Raw genomic sequence first — 19,894 nt, forward strand, 5'->3', positions numbered from 1 at the left:
TTCCCAGGTAATCCACAAAAATATGACTGCTACTACTGGTTAACATTCGAAGTGCTTACTGCATCCCAGGCACTGCTTTAAACACTCTCATATTTCATCTCAACCTTCACAACAGTTCTGCGAGGGAGGTATTATTATCCTTATTGACGGAGGAGTAGCTGAGGCCCAGGGGGATTAGCAGCCTGCCCATGGTGATGCCATTGGAGGGGCCTAGCCGGGGCCTAGCCAGGACCCAGCCAGGTCCCAGCCAGGTCTACCTGATGCCAGAGTGCCAGCTCTTACTCGATAGTTCATCCCTTGCTAATGGAGCCCACAGGCTAGGAGGCAGGAGAGATGAGGTAAAGCTGTCTCTTCCTGATTTGGAGTCAGGCAAACTACTGTTTAAAATGTTTTTAGAAAAAGATCGAATTCGTCTTTTGAGCTCCTCCCCGTGAGTCCAGGTAATTCCTTAATTCCTCAAGCTTGCCCTCCCTGTTCCTCAGTTTCCTCCTGCTTCCCTGGACTACTCCATTAAATGCACCGCCAGACTTGGGCATTCATGACACAACCCATCATCACCTGCCTCCCCACCAGTGTGTGTGTGCACACACTCACGTGCACGTGCTCACATTCACACACATGTGCATGCGCACACTCACATACGTGCACGCGCACAGTCACACATACGTGCACGCACACACACACATACACGCACACACGCACACACACTCTTTCAAAAGCTCCAATTTGCTCCCTCTAGCTTTCAGAAGACTCAGGGTAAACAAGATACCTAATTAAATTATTTCACCCTGAGGTGTAAAATAATTCCTTGACCTTCCTATAGATGCTAAAATGCATAACTTTTAAAAGGTAACTTATTCACAAAGCACCGTTTGAATTATTATACAGCCAAAAGAATGACCAAAATTGGATGGCAATTTCCAGAAGCATCCAGAAAGAGAGTTGTGTGGAGAAGCCATCTGGCTACTGCTCACCTGATCTTGATTTTTTTTTTTAACTGTATTCCTTCTCCATTTCTGAACTCAGCGTCTAAGGTGATCCTGACTGTGCCTCTGGTGAACGCAGGAAGGACTGGAAAACTGGGGTTGGGTGGGGAGTTGAGCAGGGGCCTTGCTAAGTGTGTGGAGCTGGAGACCACCTATAGTTTCTGGCTGGATTTTATAAAACACAACACCTTAATATGTTCTGCCAGGTGTAGTGAAAATGTGCCTGATGAACTTGAATTCTTACTTGCTTCCAAAAGCTCTATATGAAGGGGAGCCCAAATTAGGAGATGAAAACGCAGGAGAAAAAAAAACTAATAATAAATTTCAACTGCTGAGTTGTGTGGGTCCAACAAAGAGTAACAGAATTATACATCCTTCAAAGCCACGCTGGTTTTGTTGATTTCCATGTGAACCAACTGGCCTAAGCTGACCTCCATTTCCCTTCCAACGCAGTCCAGCTGTGGCTTTCAACCACGGCTCACACATCAAAATCACCTGTGGAACTTCAAAAAAAAAAAAAAAAAACAAAAAAAAAACACCTGGTGTCTAGCTCCAGCACAGGGAGCAGAGAAGAGAATCGATCAAGATCAGCCACAAGTACAACACGGCCTGTGCCACAACACAGCCATGTCCAGAGGGCAGGACGGGGAGAACTGCAAGAACCATTTGGTGGACCATCTCTTCTCCCCCACCTCCAGGACCAAGCGCGTGAGCCAGCCACCCACCTGCGCAGCCAGCCTTCATGAGCCCAGCTTTGCCAGCACCGAGGTCTGAGTACCAGGGACAAGGTGATAAATGGTCCTGGCAGACCTGCCAAAGAGCTTCCATTCTAATGGAAACCATACCAGGGAGATTTAAATCCCCCGGTTCTCTTACAAAAAAAAAAAAAAGAGGAGGCAACTGAAAAGGGTCCCCTAAGCAATTTCAGCACCAAACTTCAGTCCTATAAGCCCGCAGCTTCTCACTCAGTTTTCAGAGGACTTTTTTTTTTTTTTGAGATGGAGTCACCCTCTGTCACCCAGGCTGGAGTGCAGTGGCGCAATCTCGGCTCACTGCACGCTCCGCCTCCTGGGTTCACGTGATTCTCCTGCCTCAGCCTTCTCCGAGTAGCTGGGACTACAGGCGCCAGCCACCGCGCCTGGCTAATTTTTTTTTTTTTTTTGTATTTTTAGTAGAGACGGGGTTTCACCATGGTTTCAATCTCCTGACCTCGTGATCCGCCCGTCTTGGCCTCCCAAAGTGCTGGGATTACAAGCGTGAGCCACCGCGCCCGGCCTCTCAGAGGACTTTTTTGTGTAGTATTGGATTAAAGGAACTGTAAGAGCCTTCTCTAAATGTGGAGAGAATAATACTAGTATAAACCTCAACCTCCTCCTAATTCTTTCCATTTTCATACAATCTCTGAATTAACAAACGCACAACCCTTGCTTCCCCAATCTCATTGCAACCTGCGTGCCAGGCACTCTACAACCCGTTGCTCTACTCAATAGCCTGATCCAGACCATCAGAGAGTTTTAGTTCAGTGGTCCTTGTGTACCCCACACTCTAGGCCTGGGTGACCACCATGCTCTAACACCAACAGTTTGTCCCATCTGCATTCTGGGTGGCTTATTTTTTTTTTCATCTTTTTTTTCTTTCCCATTTGGAACAAGTGCCCATCAAAGGCTTAGGAGATATAAAAGATGTACAAGAACAACTCCAAGATCCCTTTTAAGAGTCTTTCATCTTTCTGTAAAAACTAAACCAAGATACATAACATATGAGTGTCACATATCGCATGCTAATTCAGAAGCAAGCTATATGAAGCAATAGGAAACACAGAGCCGTCAGAGCGGGAAAGCCCTGGAGGCACGAGTCAGCGATGACACCACAGGGTATTCAAGGAGCACCAATGGCCTGCAGGTGGCAGAAACAATGGAGGAACCAGCCTGAGTCAAGGAGGACTCACTAGGTAAGCTTGGGAAATAGGGCTGAAGACGTGGACTGAGCAGTCGATGGAAGGCTCGGAAGTCAGACATGGCTCACCTGCGACAGGGGCCTCAGCAAGAGACAGGTATGAGGGACACTGTTTTAGGCCCATGGATTAAAAACACGGCTGCCATCAACATTGATTCAGCCTATGTAAATGTCTGGTGCACCAGTTTATTCTCAACAAGAACTTAATCAGGGTGGCTCCTACCACCTCCATTCCTATCATCAAAATGGTTCAAAATATGCCAAAGCCCCGATGTTTACATATTAGAAATTTAAAATTGCTTCCTGACAACCTTCCAGGGCTTTTCATGTCCCTGTTTCTCCCCCTACAGAGCAGATGACTGTTCTGGGAGACAGCTGGCAGCAATGAGTACAAACAGCCAACTGTGTGGCCATCCCGTCATAATTTTGTTCCCTACACATCTGTCAACTGGGTGTCAGGCACAGGGTGTGCCACTGAGTCAAGCTACAACGAAACCAGCCATCATTCTCTGTCTTTTGAAGGGAGCCGGACACCTGGCGAGTAAATGCCATCTTGTGTAGAGTCACCCACAAGAGGGAATCTGGTGAATTCATCCTCCCATTAATTCATCAAGTATTTAGTCTGTGTCTATTAAGTGCCAGGCACTGTTCACAACAACATGGGCCTAGCAGCAAAGGACACAAAGCCACTGCCCTCTTGGGAGCCTGCATTCAGGGGCAGGCAGCCAACTGACAAACCGAGGGAAATATAGTATCAGGCCGTGCAAAGTGCCATGCAGGGAAATACAGGTAAGGCAATGGAGTGGCAGGGTGCACTATTGTGGATATTCATGAAACACCGCGCTGAGAAGACAGCAGACACCTGAAGGAAGTGAGGGACATAGCCAAGGGCTACCAAGGGAAAGAGCTTTGGGCAGACGGAGCAGCAAACACAGAGGCCTGGGGTAGGTAGGGACAGCGAAGAGGCCTGACCAGGTAAGCGGCAGGGAGGCGGCATGATCAGGAACTGGGTTATGGTAAGGCTTCCTACCCTCAAAACCACAGGGGGGAGGGCAAGGGCGAGAGGCCCCGCAGTTTGTGGTCATGGCAATACAATGATAATAACACTCCTCATTCCTTATTTAGATCTGTAAACCTTTCCTAGTCCAGTCTAATACATAAAAGAAAGAAAGAAATGTAAATAGTGGATTCAACAATAAAAGAGAATAAACCATTAGGTATACTCAGAGTATATTTTCTTCTTATTTTCTTTTTGAGACAGAGTCTCACTCTGTCACCCAGGCTGGAGTGCAGTGGCATGACCTTGGCTTACTGCAACCTCCGCCTCCAGGGTTCAAGGGATTCTCCTCCCTCAGCCTCCCGAGTAGCTGGGACTACAGGCATGTGCCACCACGCCCAGCTAATTTTTGGTATTTTTAGTAGAGACAGGGTTGCACCATGTTGGCCAGGCTGGTCTCAAACTCCTGATCTCAACCGATCCACCCGCCTTGGCCTCCCAAAGTGGTAGGATTACAGGTGTGAGCCACTACGCCCGGCCTTAGAGTGCATTTTCTACTCCAAAAAGTTCAACTCATACTTAGTGATGGAAAGTAAATTTGAACATTTTCAAATGTAATGATGATATTAACCAGTAGGGATGCCCTCAAATATAATATCCTCAATTGTTTTAAGCAGAGGACAGAATGGTCTTTTAATCTAAAACAATATTAGAATATGCAATTAAGTAGTTTTCCATCACAGTCTACACTTCAAAGGGTGATGCACCTTCCTAAACAGTCTTGGGAGAGATTCTAAACCCTGAGAGTCACTGACACATTTAACTAAAGCCACAGAACAATACATTCAGCTGGAGAAGTCAGTGATAATGTCTTCAAGCTTTACTACAAGTGGTAGAGGCAGAGTTGCTAATTTCCTGCTTTGTGGGTGCTTTGTAGCTTCTGTAGGCATCTTAATTATCAACTATATCATAAGAAATGTAAAACAAAGAAATACAAACATGATGAAATCTTCCACTTGCAGGAAAACAGATGATCATCAAATTTGGAGGCCTGTCCACAAAAGACAAAATTCTGGAAGTAGCAATCCTTTACGACAATACCACGTCAGCCACATTATTAGTTGCAAACATCCTTTCTAAATCCAGGGGTAAGCAGGGAACTAATCCCCAGATGTGAGCTGCCCTTTGCATTTCTGAAGCCACTTGAACTTCCAGCCATAAAACTGTGACACTCACACCACTGGCAAACAGCTCAGACACAATAACTCAGAAGTCGATTGCATGCTAATTTCCATGTTATTTCTCAACCATGAGAGTAGCTCTGTTATCCCATAGGACAAGATATTCTTTTGCCATTTCACTTAGATAAGAAATAGAACTTGCCTGAGCTATAACAGAAATGAGAAAAAGCAAATTATGTCTCTGCTACATGTGAAAGTTTAATTTATGCAACTTTTCTTGAACAAGTCAAAACTTGTCTATTCAATCAATGAATTACTACTGAAATAAAGCGGAAAAACTGTGAAGCTTAAAACAGCCACAGAAAGGTTACGATAGTCTGTTAAACAAATAAAAACTTGAGGGAGAAAACAGATCTTTGTTACCACTCAAATTGGAAATACTGGGGTTTTACACGTAGAAGGCAACCTACAGATGAGGGAAACAGTTTAACAGACATTTCTCTCGTAACAAAAAATACTTATTTTTTTTCTTCTGATTTTAAAAGCAATGTGCTGATCACACAAAATTTGGAAAATACAGAAAAGTATAAAGAAAATTTCCCCCATGAATGCATCATTTAAAATATTTATATTTTGATACATTTCCTTTCAACTAATACAATACACACCTCTTTTCATTTTTTAGCAAAATTGGGATATTAAATAGATAATTTATTACATTTGTAAGCATTTTACCTGTAATAACTTTTTCAATATATGGCTGCAAAATCTGCCATTACATGAATGTATTATAGGTGACTTAACTATTCCTCTATCGTCCTATTCAAAATGCAAGATAGACAAATTTTAATGTAACAGAGTAGGAAAGATCATTGCTATGGCTTCAGAATATTGTAACTAACCTTTCAGACACTACCACTCATCAGGTTTTGGTGTGGTATCAAGGAAGAATGTCCGTAATTATCTGAAAAGGTTATTTCAATTCTCTGGCCTTTCCCAATGATGTAACTGTGTGAAACTAGATTTTCTGCATACATGACCCCCAAAACAACCTACCCCGACAGACTGATTACAGAAGCAGACATGAGAACACAGCTATTTTCTATCAAAGCTGGTTATGAAACAGATTCACAAAAATGGAAAACAATGTCGCTCTTCTCACTAAATTTTTTTTTGGTTTTCACTTTAAAAAATCACTAAAGAGATAAATAAAACAATGTGAAACATTCATCTCATACTTTTTTTTGTTTTAGTAAGGTTATTCTTCATTATAAATGGCCTTTTTATTAGTATGTAACAGGTTTATTATTGTTTGTTATTTTTGAGTGAACTTTTAAAATTTCTCAGTTTCAATTTTTAACATAGTAAAATATCAATAGATATAACCAAAAAAAAGTTCTTTAAGATTCTCAAATACTTTTTTAAAACAGTGTAAAGGGGTCCTGAGGTCAAAAAGATTGAGACCCAGCAGGTAACAGAATGAAGAGTTTAACAGATTAATAAATCCATTGACATTGTGTTTGCTTGTTACTGACTTCTGCTTAAAAAAAGACTGCTCCGAGACGTTGAGCAGATCAGCGGCAGCTTTCTTGGGTAGAATTCTTCCTCTTCCGGCCACATTTAGTCTCTGAATAATTAGGCCCCCAAATACTTGATCCATTTCACCATTCTATATCAAAATAGTTTTCAAAGCAGATACTGCAGGTTTGTGAGGAAACAGTGCCCCCAAGAATCAGAGATGCAGATCTCTCACCATGACTACCTCACCACTTATTTGTTTAAAAAAAAAAAAAAAAGATAAAATATTATAAAAACATTTTTGCTGTGGTAAGGGCAAACTGATTCAGATGACAGTATCTGAAATACACTCATCTCCATGGTTAATCATCACCTATTTTGACTTCCTCCCACCCAAATTGCACAAGTTAATTCTGTGAATTCTGCAGGGCAAATGGCACCAGTTTCCTTCCACCTGTTAGTGCCCAGATCGCAACAGAAATAAGGAAACACCCATTTATTTCCTGTTACAGCTTTACTTTCTAATTACTAACAATCCAACTGAAAGGCCCAAACCTATTATAACATTACAGATATTTCTAATATCTCAAGAACAGGAATCCTACTATACCATTGTCCTACTCTTCCATATATAGTATTTTCTACACTTTCGTTCTAAAACAACAAAATGGTCACACTTGAAAAATTGGGCTGGGCTGGGCATGGTGGCTCATGCCTGTAATCCCAGCTACTTGGAAGTCTGAGGCAGGAGGATCACTTGAGCCCAAGAGTTCAAGACCAGCCTGGGCAAAATAGCGAGACCCTGTCTCTAAAAAATCAATTTAATTCTTTAAAAAATTGGGCTGAAAATTAAAACAAACTCTTTCATTAAAACACGTATTTATTGAGTGTACAGCTTGTGCCAGGCATATGTCTTGACACTGAGGATAAAGCAGTAAAACTCCCTGCCTCGTGGACTTATTTATCATAGCTTATTTTCTACTGGGGGAAGCAGGCATTCGACAAAGGAGTAGCAATGAAGTGTGCTGGGTTTTAACAGAGGAAGCCGAGGTCACCATGAGAACAGACCACAGAAGTCCAGGGAGAGCATTTGATGAAATGCAGTCCAAGGGGAGAACCCTCGGCAGACATAGGCGCATGGGCTTGGAGCACAAGATGAGCCAGAAGAAAGATGGGACTCAAGCCTGGGGTTAGCACACAGATACAAACCCAGACTCCCCGGGGAAAGAATGAGGCCAAGTGCTGAAATAGAGGACACTGAGGAAGAACCAGTTCAATGGATCAGAGAAAACAAGGAAATGTGTTACAGACTCACTGCATTTTAGATACCTGCAAAGCATGCAAGACTATAAAGGATGCACTGACATAGGTGCTTGAGCTCACAAGTTAGGTATGGGCTGGATACGTAGATATGACAGCCAAAATCCTACAGCAAACGAAGCGGCTGAAACTGCTGATATTCCTCAGCAGGGTGGCAAAAGTGTCCTCAAAATACCCAAATACAAAGGGGTGGGGAGAGGAAGGGGAGGCTGCAAAGGAGGCTGAAGGGGATAATCGAGCGAGAGAAGGAAACCCAGGGGAGAGTGTCTCAGGCGCTCAGAGGGCAGGGGGATGTTTCACAGAGGAGGATGCGCTCCACAGTGGTAAATCCCAGCTGGCAAATGCTGCTGAGAGGCCAAGCAGGAACACAACCAGAGGGCCCTGTGGAACTCGCAGCAGGGCGGACCTAAGGCCTCTCTGCAGCACTGGCTTCATGGGCATGGGACCTTCACAGCCCCCATGCCTGAGGGGCCCTACGCTTCGTTTAGTGCTTTGCTGTTACCATCTTGAAATTCTTAATTTTTGAACAAAGAACCCTGTATTTTCACTTTGCACTGGGCCCAGAAAATTTTGTAGCCAATCCTGACCCTCTGGTATCAGTTTCACTAAAGTAGCAGAGATAAAAAACAGAATCTAATGGATTGAGGAGTGAAAGGGGAATGAAAGAATAAGTAGGTAACACAGTGACTTTAAGGTGATCCCACATTCCTCTCCACCTACTGTTCACCTGTCACCTGCTTCTAACAACAGAAGATAGCAAAGGTGATGAGATGTCACTCCTGTGAAGCCATCATGCTGCAATCTTCCATCCTTGCCAGCTGAAAGGAAGTAAGGACCTGTGCGGCATGGAACTGCAGGCGACCCACGTCCCACAACTGCAGGGAAATGAATTCTGCCCATGACCTGAGGGAGCCTGGAAACACTCTTCCTCAGTCGAGCCTCTGATGAGACCACAGCCCTGGCGCCCACCTGGACAGCAGCCTGGTGAGAGCCTGAAGCACAGAAACCAGCTAGGCTGTGCCCGGGCTCCTGAGCCACGGAACTGGTGAGGGAACCAACACAGGTTGTTTATGATACTGAGTGTGCAATCATTTGCTGTGTAGCAGTAGGTAATAGTACAAGGCAGAAAGTAGAACATGCTCTCAAAATGTTTCATCAAGAGAAGGAAAGAGAAAGTGGTCACTGAAAGAGGAGAGTTCCAAGAAGAGCTTGGGTTCTGTTTTTGTCGTAAGATAGGAGAGACCTGAGCACTTGTAAATGCTCATGAGAAGGAAATACCAGGAGAGAGGTTTACATCGGAGGTGGGGCCGGGCGCGGTGGCTCACGCCTGTAATCCCAGCACTTTGGGAGGCCGAGGCGGGCAAAACACAAGGTCAGGAGATGGAGACCATCCTGGCTAACACAGTAAAACCCCGTATCCACTAAAAAATACAAAAAAATTAGCCAGGCATGGTGGCGGACGCCTGTAGTCCCAGCTACTTTGGAGGCTGAGGCAGGAGAATGGTGTGAACCCAGGAGGCGGAGCTTGCAGTGAGCCAAGATCGTGCCACTGCACTCCAGCCTGGGTGACAGAGCGAGACTCTGTCTCAAATTAAATAAATAAATAAATAAAAATAAATAAATTGGAGGTGGGAGAGAATGGTGGTGCAGAAATGGATTTCTAGAGAATAAATAAGATTCCTCTTTCACTATAAACAGAAAAATGAGAAAAGTACAGGCCCAAGAGCAGGCGGATTTGCAAAGGGGCAGTGGGAAGGTCAGAGAATGGCCTTCGCACGACTGTCCCGTGAGCTGTGGAAAGATAATCTGCCGAGAGTGAAATGAGAGGAGGAGGGATGGGCTCAGTATGAACCTAGAGATTTAAGAAGTGTGGAGGAGGTTGGAAAAGTCATTATGGAGAGGAAGAGGGTTGATGAGGAAAATTTGATTTCCAGGCAGTGTTGAGGCCCTGGTGAGGCAGAGATCAGGATCATAGAGAGGCAACTGTGTAACTTTCTCTGGCAGAACTCAGAAGTCCAGGGACAGGCATGGGTGGGCCGCCCAATCCCCCAGGAGAGTGAAGTAAGGGATTCCAGTGCGTTGACAAGCGCATCGCTGAAATGTTGGAATTCAAAAGCAGAGGCAAAGTCCAGCAGGAGCAGAGGGGTTGGAAAGGGACCTGGAATGGGAAAAATCTGATGTTCTTATTGTAATCTGTCAGCTGAGCTGAAGGACAGAAGCTTCTGGTGAGTAGGATCTCTGGATTTCAGCTCAGAAGCGGTTCCTGGTATTAACAGTGTCTTTTTAGGGTAACCTCCTCCTCCTAGTTTGAGCACTGAAAGTCCTGCGTCCTGTGAAACTCCTTAGTCCTCAGACTGAACATCCCCATCCCAAAAAGCTCCTGCTGCCACTCCAGTCTCAGGCAAACCAGGCTGCTGGTCACTCAGCTCCGGCTGCCATGGAGTCCCCGGTGAGCTTTGACAAATACTGACCCCTGCAGCAGATGACTGTGAGCCAGGGGCCAAAACTTTCAAGGAACGAATGAGGAGCTACGACCACGAAATGCTAGCACTGAGGGTAGAGGACAGAATACGACTGAGACAAGGCTCAAAGCAGCAGCGAGGGGAAGGGTCATGACCCAAAAGTGGCCATGAGGGCAGGAACCTAAGCCCTGCCTCCAGATCCCAAGGCACATACAGGGTGGGAGAAGGTGCACTCCCATTCCCAAGGGAGCCAAGGCAGCACTGAACTCGGAGAGTGGCTCTCGGTTAGACCAGGAGGTGAAGATACTGGGGGAGGAGGAGGCTGGCTGATGATCCCAGGGTTAGACCAGGAGGTGAAGATACTGGAGGAGAAGGCTGGCTGATGATCCCAGGGTTAGACGAGGAGGTGAAGATACTCAGGTAAGAGGAGGCTGGCTGATGATCCCAGGGTTAGACCAGGAGGTGAAGATACTCAGGTAAGAGGAGGCTGGCTGATGATCTCAGGGTTAGACCAGGAGGTGAAGATACTCAGGTAAGAGGAGGCTGGCTGATGATCTCAGGGTTAGACCAGGAGGTGAAGATACTCAGGTAGGAGGAGGGTGGCTGATCTCTGGGTTAGACCAGGAGGTGAAGATACTCGGGTAGGAGAAGGGTGGCTGATCTCTGGGTTAGACCAGGAGGTGAAGATACTGGGGAAGGAGGCAGCATGGGAGCTGGCTGATCCCAAGGCAGGAGCACAGCACCTGGTGGAAGAGGCTGGAGGGGAAGGGAGAGAGGGTGGGGTGGAAGGGGGAGGCAAAGAGCAGTCCCAGGAACCTGGAAGGAGGGGGAGAGACAGGGCATGAAGGTGGGATCCTAAATCCCAGAATCGTCGGCAACATAATAAATGGCAACACCAGGAGAGCTGGCATCTGACGATGTCTGTGGGACACAGTGCATAGGTAGATTTTAACACACTGAGATTGCTATTTGGTATAATGACATGTTTATCCTGAAGAAATGAAGTTAGGAATTTTCTGAGCTACAGAATGAATTTTTTGGTTCTCATCGAAAGGTCTGTTGCTCTTGGAACTCAATTCTCAAAGGTCTGTTTCACAAATAATCATCCTCGTTCTGATGTTTATTCAAATCTTTGCCCACCCTCGAGTCTCCTTAAATTCCTCATATTCCACAAATGATGTGTGTTATCTGAATCCAGAAAACCCTCATGGGTTTGCAGATATAACTGCCAACAACTGATATAGAAATAGAGAGTGTAGAAAATATTTCTTGACAATAAAAGTCAGAAGGAAGATTCGAGTTATCCTATCCCCATGAAAGGAAGGGGAGGGTACATGTTGTGTTGTGGTGAGCTGCAGTTTGCATTGTGCACATATGTGTGTGTGTGTGCATGCATGCATGCACACATGTGTTACGTTAAGATCATAACATGTGGTGATCTAAGTCCTCCGGAAGCTAGACAGACTCAACATATTGTTCCAGCAAAAACTTTAGCATCATTTAGAAAAAAATATAGCAGAAAAAAATTCCTCAACTCAAGAACAACACAGGTACTTCTGTTCAGTGTAACCTTCCTCTCAAGTTTTGGGAAAGATGGAAATAGGCCAGGACTGGAGGGGTGGAGCCCTCACACAGTCAGCTCACAGGTCAGCAGAAGTGACAGGTACTCCAGACTTAAGACCTTGAGGGAAACCAAGGTTCCTCTGTCTCTTCTCTGAAATAATCAAGTTCTTTCTTCCCTTCTCCCTCCTCAATGCAAGGCCGTGCTTCCCCAAACAAGATCTGGGACTCTCGCGCCTACTGAGATGGACAGAGAGCTTCACAGGTGTCAACAGTTTCAAGAACCTTGGCCAGCCTCAGCCAACAGCCAACCAGGCAGGCTGGGCGAGCCCAGAGGTTCCCGGAAACCAGAAACTAGGGCAGAAACACCCAGCAACTCAGTCGCTTTTCTAAAACAGAGCTACCAATAAATATATAAATCACTGTCATGAGCCATAGAAAGGGAAAGCTTTTATAAATTAAAGCATCCAAATATTAAGCCAATATTACTTAGGATTGCATTTATCATTGCTACAGAAAAAAACTGTATGTAAATAAATGTGAATGCATACAAGGTAATTGAGTGTCCTATGTTAATATAAGGGTAGCCCATATTTTTTCTGAAATGAAACGACATTGAAAACGTACCTACCAAAAAAATGTGGTGGGTGTGTGTGTGTGTGTGTGTGTGTGTGTGTGTGTGTGATGTTTATCTAGGTCAACATTAGATTTTTACCCAATATCTGTGTACACCAAGGCCCAGCAGGGCAGGGTGGTTACACAGTGTATGTAGCAAGACAAGCCATAGCCACTGTGAGAATGACTGCCCAAGAGGAAGGAGAGCATTAAATCTCCTTAGACAAGTACCGACAGGTACTGGAAATGCTGTTTCCACAGTGGCCACCCAAGACATTCTCTCCCTAATCCTAACCAAGGAATAAGAAGCAAATTAAAGGCCAGGCACAGTGGCTGACGCCTATAATCCCAGCACTTTGGGAGGCTGAGGTGGGCGTATCGCTTGTGGTCAGGAGTTCAAGACCAGCCTGGCCAACATGGTGAAACCTCATCTCTACTAAAAATACAAAAATCAGCTGGGCATGGTGGCGAGTTCCTGTAATCCCAGCTACTTGGGAGGCTGAGGCAGAAGAATCGCTTGAACCTGGGAGGCAGAGGTTGCAGTGGGCTAAGACTGCACCACTGCACTCCAGCCTGGATGACAGAGTGAGACTCCATCTCAAAAAAAAAAGAAGTAAATTAAACTCAGCACATATCAGTGTTTTGTTGTGGTCATGTGTTCATTTTTTTTTTTTTTTAATCCACAACTGTGAAGGAGGAGGTGATGGCAATGAGCAGAATGCTTTCAAATCAAGTGCTATTTTGCTAAAATCAAATATGTCTTAGCTCAGGCTGCTATAACAAGCTGCCATAGGCTGGGGGCCTTAAACAACACTTGTCTATTTCTCACAATTCTAGAGGCTGGGAAGTCCAAGATCAAGGTGCCAGCAGATCGGGTGTCTGGTGAGGGCTCCCTTCCTGACTGGCACACAGCCACCTTCTGGCTGTGTCCTCACATGGTGGACAGCAGGGAGAGTGAGAAAAAAGCTCTCCTGTCTCTTCTCCTGGAAGCACTAATCCCATTCTCAGGACTCCCCAAGGCCCCTCCTCCTAAAACCATAACATAAGGGGTTCAAATTTCAACATATGCATTTTTGGGGGTGACACACACATTCAGATCATAACAAGTACTTCAAAATATATTATCAGGCCTACAATCTTCACTAGATAGTCAAATTTTACTGGAAATAGATATCTTCAGAGAAAATGCATAATTATCAGGATCCTAGACACTTAATAGAGCATGGATAAAATAATGCAGATAAAAGTTAGTGAATCCAAAAAGAGTTCTTAAAAAGCTAAGTAAAAGGCGACTCATCCAGAGTTTGACAGACATGGTTGGCATCTGAAGAAATTTTAGGAAAAAAAAATAGTTCACAACTACACAAGACACAGCCTATTACAAAGCTCTCTTCCTGGCAAAGACACACTATTCAATACCACTCACTATAACAACATATAATTTTTATTTAGTCTCATACAAGTCTGCTATTGTGTTAACAAGTCTAAGTTCACACAACATTTTCTAGAGAAGGACTACATTATTCAACAGCCATAGAAAAGTCCCAGTGTTTATTCTTACCTCAGATATCTATTTTCTTGTTTATGTTTTAATCATGGGCATTCAAGGTGGTGAAAAATCATCCTTTAGCAAGAGAAGAGTTAGCCCAGGAAGTCATCCCCATCCATGTCACCCATCAAGGCCTAAGTGACGAACGGTTACAGAGACTGACCTAACCTCACCTCAGTAGATATAGGCAGGCTCCTTAAGCCCAAGGTAGCAAATAAAAAGATCGCAGTAAGAATGCACCTTCTGACTGTGGTAGTTCCTTAGAGCGGTGAAGAAAAGCACCCAAAACAAGAATTAACCATCCCCACAAAGAACTCTCTTTCTGGATATCAAAAGAGCCACAGTTCAAGTTCAAAGAGAAACACTCTAGCAACTTCTGAAAGCAGGAACTGTATGCAACTGAATGACCTCATCCGGCACAGAAGCCAGAGCAAACAATGAAAAACAAACCGTACCAACTCTGGTACCAGTTACTGACCTTCCAGACCAAGAGAACGTGCTGGCAGCACTGGTGAAATGTACTTGTCTGTACAAAAATCAGCTCCTCTACTTGTAAGCAAATATGCACGCAGACTCTCCAGCCCTGGGTGGGTACCAGGTTGCAACACTCACACAACCTGACTGCAGGAAGCATGCGTGAGTCAACCTCCAATTGGAGGAGGACAAGTTCTCGCACTTCTTAGAGCATCACCACAACACCTACAGCATGGAGGCCTGAGACCAATCAGAATGGCCCTCCTGAGGCTGGGATTCATGGCATCACAGCCCACTTTATAAAATGTGCTAAGAATTTTCTATGGGGAAGGGTTATGTTTAACATGGCGGAAGACAGGTGCGGTGGTGTGCACCCGTGGTCCTAGCTACTCCAGAGGATCGCTTGTACCCAGGAGTTTGAGGCTGTAGTGCACTATGATCACATCTGTGAAGAGCCACTGCATTTCAACCTGGGTAACACAGAGACCCCATCTCTTCAAAAAAAAAAAAAAATTTATATATATATATATATATATTAGAGTGTGTGTGTATATATGTTATGTATAGGTGTATGTAGATATACATATATATTAGATTGGAAAAAAACGACAAGCAGAAGGGACTTGAGTTCCAGTCCCAACTCTGCCCAACTATATCTGTATGATCTCTGGGCTGAAGGATCCTCCCCTCTAAAACAAGGAGTTTCCTTCCAGTTCTAGATTGTTATTACTATATTATTAGGAAATAGCAAATATATACCAAAGCAGCAAGAGTGGAATTACCATTGCAGAGGCACATATAGACGCCCACTTGGTGACATCTGGCCCACAAGTACATTTCAACTCCTGCACCAAGCCCAGTGCATGGCAGACACCAGCTACCTCCCAGTGCCGCAGCCCTGCTCAGTCAGTGCACTGTGGAGAGAAACAGGCTTGGTGGAAAGCTCTGAAAACTGTCTGCTATGGTTTCACTCTGTCCCCCAAAGTTCATGTTGAAACTTAATCCTCAATGCAACAGTGATGAGGCCATAAGGGCTCCACCTCATGAATGGATTAATGCTGTTAATGTGGAAGTGGGATATAAAATGGAAGACTTCGGCCCCCTTCCTCTTTTGCCCTTCCACCTTCCACCATGGGATGATGCAGCAAGAAGGCCCTCACCAGATGCAGGCCCTCGACCTTGGACTTCCCAGTCTCCAGAACTATAAGAAACACATTTTTGGCTGGGTGTGGTGGTTCACACCTGTAATCCCAGCACTTTGGGAGGCCAAGGCAGGAGGATCACTTGAGGTCAGGAGCTCAAGATCAGCCTAGACAACCAACATGGTGAAACCCCATCTCTATTAAAAATACAAAAAAAAAAAAAAAAAATTAGCAGGACATGGTGGAATATGCCTGTAGTCCCGGCTACTTGGGAGGCAGAGGCAGGAGAATCACATGGACCCCAGAGGCAGAGGTTGCAGTAAGCTGCATCACCCCACTGCACTCCAGCCTGGGCAACTCCATCTCAAAATAAATAAATAAGTAAATAAGTTTCTTTTCTTTGTAAATTACCCAGTCTGTGGTATTCCACTACGGCAGCATAGAACAGACTACAACAGCATCTATAAACAATGCTGTTTGACTCACACTTGATTCACTTGGATTCCTTCCAAATGATCATTGTGGATACATGATATAAAAACAAACAAACAAAAAAAAAAAACCACCCTAGGGCCCAGGAGTTTATCTGCTCTTTCTCTCATAATCTACCCTTCCCATGACACAGGGAATATTTTGGTGCTCTCAACATGAAATGCCACAAGACCAGGGTAGACACTTAAGGGTTCAGCTTCCAAGCTCTGCTTATAAAAAATGCAAAATCTCAGTTCAGTAAGAACAGGGTTTAGTACAATACACAAACACTACTGAATATGCATGCCACCCTGAGAAAAAATCTTGAATTAGTATGTAATAAATAGATAACAAGGTGATATTCCTCAGGCATCCTGACACAGTTATTCCCAACTGAATCTGTAAGAGTGAACTGTTACTCTTTACATTCTGTACCCTGAGACATCACAATATGTATGCACGGTGGATATAATCTATCCAATATCTCAAAACTGAACCCTAGTTTTGTTGTTGTTTTAACCTACACATTATTAACAAGGATCTTCAGTAGGACATTTTGCAAACCAGTACAAATGTGCCCTGGGCAAACAGCATTTGGGAAACACTGCTCCCACATACACTTGCAGAGTTCCTGCCAATCAGGAGCTTCCACCGTCACCCAAGTGTCAGAACAAAGCCCATGTGGCTGATCACAACTGTCCACCTCTTGGCAGCCCATCAGACTAGCAGGCCAGACATACTGTTTTTATCCAATGGACCACAATTGGCCAAGAGACGAGACTGAGAAAAGGCTTAGCACACAGACCTCTCACAGATTATTAGTACATTTCAGTCAACTCCTAGAAAAAGAATTACGAAATTATACTGTTAGTATGAAGGGTAGGAAATAAAATTACTTGATTTTTTAATAACATTACATTCACACTTTTCCCCAAAGCATCTCCACCCCCAACACAAGTCATATATGGCCCTATAAATTCTGTATGAAGATGGTGAAATCTCTTCGTAATTCGTGTATAATTGGCCACAGCTAGCAAATAACAGGATGATTGAATCCAGGCCTGTTTTATTCCAAAAATCATATTACCCTAGGGTACAGTGTGCCCCATCGGAGAACACACCAGGAAAAGAAATATGACCTCCTTTATTAACAGTCTTTCATACTGACCTTTAATGAAAACACTGACTTTACCGACCATTGGGAAAGTAGCTCATAAAACTAAGTTATCTGTATGAGTCAATAATAAGCACTAAAGGGGTTAAGCTTCTTGCACTGAATAAAGCAGGTGGCATATTTTTTAGAATTTCTAGTTTAAGTAGCTTGTACTTCCCTGTACTGGGGATCACACGCTAAAGAAGCTTTTTGTTTTTTTGTTTTTTTTTTGAGATGGCGTCTCGCTCTATCGCCCAGGCTGGAGTGTAGTGGTGCACTCTTGGCTCACTGCAGCCTCCACCTCCCAGGTTCAAGCGATTCTCCTGCCTCAGCCTCCTGAGTAACTAGGATTACAAGAGCGTGCCACCACACCAGCTAATTTTTGTATTTTTAGTAGAGAAGGCATTTCACCATGTTGGCCAGGCTGGTCTCGAATTCCTGACCTCAAGAGATCTGCCCGCCTCAACCTCTGAGAGTGCTGGGATTACAGGTATGAGACACTGCGCCCGGCCAAGAAGCTTTTCAATGGAGAGCAATACAAACACAGTCAAGAAAAAGCACTGTGTGATGGCCTGGACACCAAGGGAATACCACACACGTCACAAAGGAGCTCAGGCAGGCACAGGGGCCAGGGAAACCTAACATCTAAAAGATCTTTAGGGTACAGCTTCCAAACTTTTCTAACAGCAACTGACAACCAGAAAAACATTTTACATCACAATGCAGACAGACACATGTGTGCACGGGCTCACAAAACAATACAAATACCCCATATGGGCACACATTTCCTAATCTACTTTACGTTTTAAAATGCGGGCTGTGACCCTCAGTATAAAAACACTGAGTCAGATCCAGCAAGGGATGAAAGAATAAGCCATGTGGTCTATCCATACAACACAGATATTAGGCATTTTTCAGCCTTAAAAAGGAAGGAAATTGTCATACATGCTACCACATAGACAGGTCTTGAAGACATCACGCTAAGCGAAATAAGCCAGTCACAAAAAGACAAGTACTGTACGATTCCATTTATATGAGCTCCCTAGAAGAGTCAAACTCACAGAAAGTAGAATGCTGCTTCCCAGGGGCTGGGAGAAGGGAATGGGGAGGAATTGTATTATGGTTACCGAGTTTTGGTTTGGGATGATGAAAAAGTTCTGGAGATGGATGGTGGAGATGGTTGCACGGCAGTGTGGTTAAAATGGTTTACCTCGTTGTGTATATTTCACCACGATTTTTTAAAAAGCCACTGAGTTGGCCACGTGCAGTGGCTCACGCCTGCAATCCCAGCACTTTGGGAGGCCGAGGCGGGTGGATCACGAGGTCAGGAGTTCGAGACCAGCCTGGCAAACATGGTGAAACCCCGTCTCTACTGAAAATTCAAAAATTAGCTGGGCGTGGTGGTGGGCACCTGTCATCCCAGCTATTCAGAAGTCTGAGGTAGGCGAATCATTTGAACCCGGGAGGCGGAGGCTGCAGTGAGGGAAGATCACGCAATTGCACTCCAGCCTAGGCAACAGTGCAAGACTACATCTCAAAAACAACAACAACAACAACAACAAAAAGCCACTGAGTTAGAAAGCAGTGAACAGTGGGAAAACTCTCACAAAATTATGGCTTTCTGTACTATGTGATATTAGTAAAACTGGCACAATTGGAACCAAACATTTACAGTAGTATTCTGTGGCATTAGAATTCTAACAGTGCAAACACATCTTTGTACTTTATTTTTTTCTATCTATAAAACAGGAATAAGGCTACTTACTACAAAATGAAAGAAGATTGCAAGTCCCAAAAACCGTTTTATTAGAAAAGTTGAGAATACCAATGAAAACCTAGTTAAGAACAGAAATGATTAGATCCCTGAATAGAGAAGGGGTATTTTAGATTAAATCTTCCCAGAGTATTTGGGATCAGTAATGTGTTGCCTCTATTAAACACGACGAAAAAACAGCAACACTGATTACAAGCAGAATGGAAAAAATACATAATAATGCATGGCTTTTTTGATCAATAATTGTTTCTTCATATTGTCAATGTATGCTTACAAAGAAGTTTCTCTATTCAAATGCTTCCATTCACTGACAGAACACTGCTTATGATGAAATCTTACAGAAAACATGCATGCCTTTTATGGCTGGATATGCCTCCTTGCCTCACAGGGCCCAACTGAGACAATATTCTAATTGCGTATTCTCGATGTGTACTTACAAAGGTGTTTCTCTGTCAAATCCTTCCATTCTCTGACAGAAAACAGTTTATGATACATCTTAAAGAAAGCATGCTCATATTTGCATTCTATTGCTGGATTTTTCTGCTTGGCCTCATGGGGCCCAATGGAGAAAGAATCATGTTCTAATAACGTATTCTCGATGTGTGCTTACCAAGGTGTTTCTCTGTCAAACTCTTCCGTTCACGGAAAGAAAACAGCTTCACGTGAATCTTTAAAAAAGCGAGCTTACGTTTGCCTTTTACAGCTACGTATATAAACTTGCATAGTACGAAGAAAT

The 19,894-nt window shown here is 44.1% G+C and overlaps 1 protein-coding gene across 24 annotated transcripts in view, besides 3 other annotated features; it reads right to left on the reverse strand.

Annotated features, from left to right (window-relative positions):
- The window catches only part of FAM107B (family with sequence similarity 107 member B), a 256,341-nt gene that overhangs the window by 39,050 nt on the left and 197,397 nt on the right, over nt 1-19,894 (reverse strand). For 4 of the 24 annotated variants that reach the window (NM_001282700.2, NM_001320735.2, XM_047425822.1 and 1 more), the window contains exon 1: nt 14,623-14,769. The exons of 12 other annotated variants lie outside the window; for them this stretch is intronic. The gene's annotated coding sequence lies outside the window, so the exon portion shown is untranslated. Of the gene's footprint in view, nt 1-14,156; nt 14,584-14,622; nt 14,770-19,894 lie in introns of those variants that run through there. 8 more of the 24 variants (NM_001282703.1, NM_001320737.1, NM_001282699.1 and 5 more) reach the window with 4 other exon arrangements.
- Nucleotides 1,154-2,031: an enhancer, noted in NCBI's record as "H3K27ac-H3K4me1 hESC enhancer chr10:14600759-14601636 (GRCh37/hg19 assembly coordinates)". NCBI's record gives its function as "activates a minimal SCP1, AML or CMV promoter by ChIP-STARR-seq in primed H9 embryonic stem cells {active_cell/tissue: H9 hESC(primed)}" and the evidence as "EXISTENCE:reporter gene assay evidence [ECO:0000049][PMID:30033119]".
- Nucleotides 1,224-1,518: a silencer, noted in NCBI's record as "tiled region #15534; HepG2 Repressive non-DNase unmatched - State 23:Low". NCBI's record gives its function as "represses a minimal TATA promoter and a strong SV40 promoter by Sharpr-MPRA in HepG2 cells {active_cell/tissue: HepG2}" and the evidence as "EXISTENCE:reporter gene assay evidence [ECO:0000049][PMID:27701403]".
- Nucleotides 14,831-14,880: a silencer, noted in NCBI's record as "silent region_2160". NCBI's record gives its function as "represses an Ori minimal core promoter by ATAC-STARR-seq in GM12878 lymphoblastoid cells {active_cell/tissue: GM12878}" and the evidence as "EXISTENCE:reporter gene assay evidence [ECO:0000049][PMID:35858748]".

This window comes from Homo sapiens, chromosome 10 (genome assembly GCF_000001405.40).
Source record: "Homo sapiens chromosome 10, GRCh38.p14 Primary Assembly".
Classification (NCBI taxonomy): Eukaryota; Metazoa; Chordata; class Mammalia; order Primates; family Hominidae; genus Homo; species Homo sapiens.